Source organism: Homo sapiens, chromosome 17, assembly GCF_000001405.40.
Source record: "Homo sapiens chromosome 17, GRCh38.p14 Primary Assembly".
In the NCBI taxonomy this organism is placed as follows: domain Eukaryota; kingdom Metazoa; phylum Chordata; class Mammalia; order Primates; family Hominidae; genus Homo; species Homo sapiens.
Genome location: NC_000017.11, coordinates 32,238,533 through 32,241,084, shown reverse-complemented (window position 1 = coordinate 32,241,084; position 2,552 = coordinate 32,238,533). Strand labels below are relative to the sequence as shown.

At 48.1% G+C, this 2,552-nt stretch overlaps 1 annotated feature.

Annotated features, from left to right (window-relative positions):
• Positions 1-295: a silencer, noted in NCBI's record as "tiled region #9359; HepG2 Repressive non-DNase unmatched - State 13:Ctcf, and K562 Repressive DNase unmatched - State 12:CtcfO". NCBI's record gives its function as "represses a minimal TATA promoter and a strong SV40 promoter by Sharpr-MPRA in HepG2 and K562 cells {active_cell/tissue: HepG2 | K562}" and the evidence as "EXISTENCE:reporter gene assay evidence [ECO:0000049][PMID:27701403]".

Sequence of the window (2,552 nt, the reverse complement as noted above, 5' to 3'; positions counted from 1 at the left end):
CATTTGATCTAGCATAAATATAAGCTCAGCAGAGGGAGCGCGGCAAGAGGTTCTAAACATAGGTGGCTCCACAGCACAGAGAAACCAGCCAGGAGACACCCAGGCAAGCGTCCTTGGCTGACTTCCCAGGTCCCTTGGCTTTGGGCTTTCCATGGTCCTGACCACATAAGGAAGGCTCTCTCTGCCAGTGACAGGCATCTCCCAATTCTTTCTCGCTGACTGCTGCGCTAGTAGGTCCTCTTCATTTGGGCTTGGGAGGTCATTTTTGGCAAACAGTAACTCTCACTCCCAAAACGTGGATCCTAAAATGTGGAAGAATCCTGATGACAATGTAAGATGCTACAGCTGCACCTGGCTGGTGGCAGAGTTATAATCTGGTACATGTTTCAGCTGCCACTTACACATAACAGGTGAGCACAGCGTTCATGCTGCTTGAAATGAACACCTATTCTGTTCCAAGCACATTATTACACAGCATATTTTTTCAAATTCAGCTGTACTTTGACAGTTTTTATAGAAAGTATGTGTCTCAATTTTTACATACCAAACTGGAGGAAATTTATCCAGTGAAGTGATTACTGATCTCCAGCCCCAGAAGCGTGAGGCACACAGGTACCTGAATTCTTTCAGGCCAAATGAAACTAACTAAATATTCTTTATGTATGAATTGTTATGGGGCAAGGTGAACACCACCTCCTCCATAAAAGCTTTCTGGGAGCTCCTCAACAGCAGAAAATCTCCCCTCTGCTTGAATTCCCATTGCATTTGTTTTTTTTTTTTTTTTTTTTTGAGATGGAGTCTCGCTCTTTCGCCCAGGCTGTAGAGCAATGGCGCGATCTCGACTCACTGCAACCTCCACCTCCCAGGTTCAAGCGATTCTCCTGCCTCCTCAGCCTCCCGAGTAGCTGGGATTACAGGCATCTGCCATCATGCCCGGCTAATTTTTGTATTTTTGTCGAGATGGGGTTTCACCATGTTGGCCAGGCTGGTCTTGAACTCCAGACCTCAGGTGATCCACCTGCCTCGGCCTCCAAAGGTGCAGGGATTACAGGCGTGAGCCACCGCGCCTGGCCTGCACTTGATTTTATCTCTTATAGGTCTTATTTTTCTACCTATAGTAGATGCTTATTTACATATTACCTCTCCCTATTGTATTGGAAGATCTTTGAATCAGGCATCTCCCCCATAACTATTTCATCTCTATTTCTCACCACATACAGCCCAGCACTTTATACAAAGGAGGCTCCAAGTACATGTTTCTGAAGGAAAGAATGACCAAGCAGAACAGAATCCCTTGTGATAAACTAAGTGTAGCAGTAGAAGAGAGATCACTGAGCCCTGGCCAAGAGGCCTAGTTGACCAGACGACTTGAAGAAAGGCTCAGACCCCAAGTCTGAGGCCTGTGACCCCTGGCTCTGAATTGTGCAAGTCCCTGACATTGTGTCATTGATTTTGTGGACGCACTTCCCCACAGCTCAGTTGTTGGAGCCAGCTCTGCAGGAAATATTTTGGTTGTCCTTTAGCTTTATTTCCTCACTCAGTCCAATAAGCTGCACTGACTTTCATAGAGTTTTAAGGCAAATGGCTTAAAGTTCATTTATTTGTCCATTTACTCATTGATTCAAAACATATTTACTGAGCATCGACTATGTACCAAGTATTGTTCTAGGCCCTGAATATAAAGTGGTGATTAAGACAGTCATAGACCTACTCTTTTTTTTATTTTCATTTTTTATTTTTTGAGATGGAGTTTTGCTCTTATTGCCCAGGCCAGAGCGCAACGGCACGATCTCGGCTCACCATAACCTCCGCCTCCAGGTTCAAGCAATTCTCCTGCCTCAGCCTCCCGAGTAGCTGGGATTACAGGCATGCACCACCATGCCTGGCTAATTTTGTATTTTTATTAGAGACGGGGTTTCTCCATGTTGGTCAGGCTTGTCTCGAACTCCTGACCTTAGGTGATCCACCCACCTCAGCCTCCCAAAGTGCTGGGATTACAGGCGTGAGCCACCACGCCCGGCCCAAAGCCCTACTCTTATAAAGCCTACATTGAAGCAGGAGGGAGACCCTCAACAAATGAAGGAGCACACATGGAAAAGGAAGGAAGGGAGGGAGAGAGGGAACGAGAGAAGGAGGGAGGGAGGATGGAAGGGAGGGAGGGAGGAAGGAAGGGAGTAAGGGAGGGAGAGAGGATGGGAGGGAGGGAGGGAGAGGGAAAGAGAGAGGGAGGGAGGGAGAGAGGGAACGAGAGAGGGAGGGAGGATGGAAGGGAGGGAGGGAGGGAATGAGAGAGGGAGGGAGGGAGGATGGAAGGGAGGTAACGAGATAGGATGAAAGGGAGGGAGGGAGGGAGGATGGCTGGTGGTGAGATGCTGACAATCAAGGTGATGTCAGATAGAGTTTTTGTTTGTTTGTTTTGAGACAGAGTCTCGCTTTGTCGCCCAGGCTGGAGTAGGTGGTGTGATCTCAGCTCACTGCAACCTCTGCCGCCTGGGTTCAAGTGATTCTCCTGCTTCAGCCTCCCGAGTGGCTGGGATTACAGGCACCCGCCA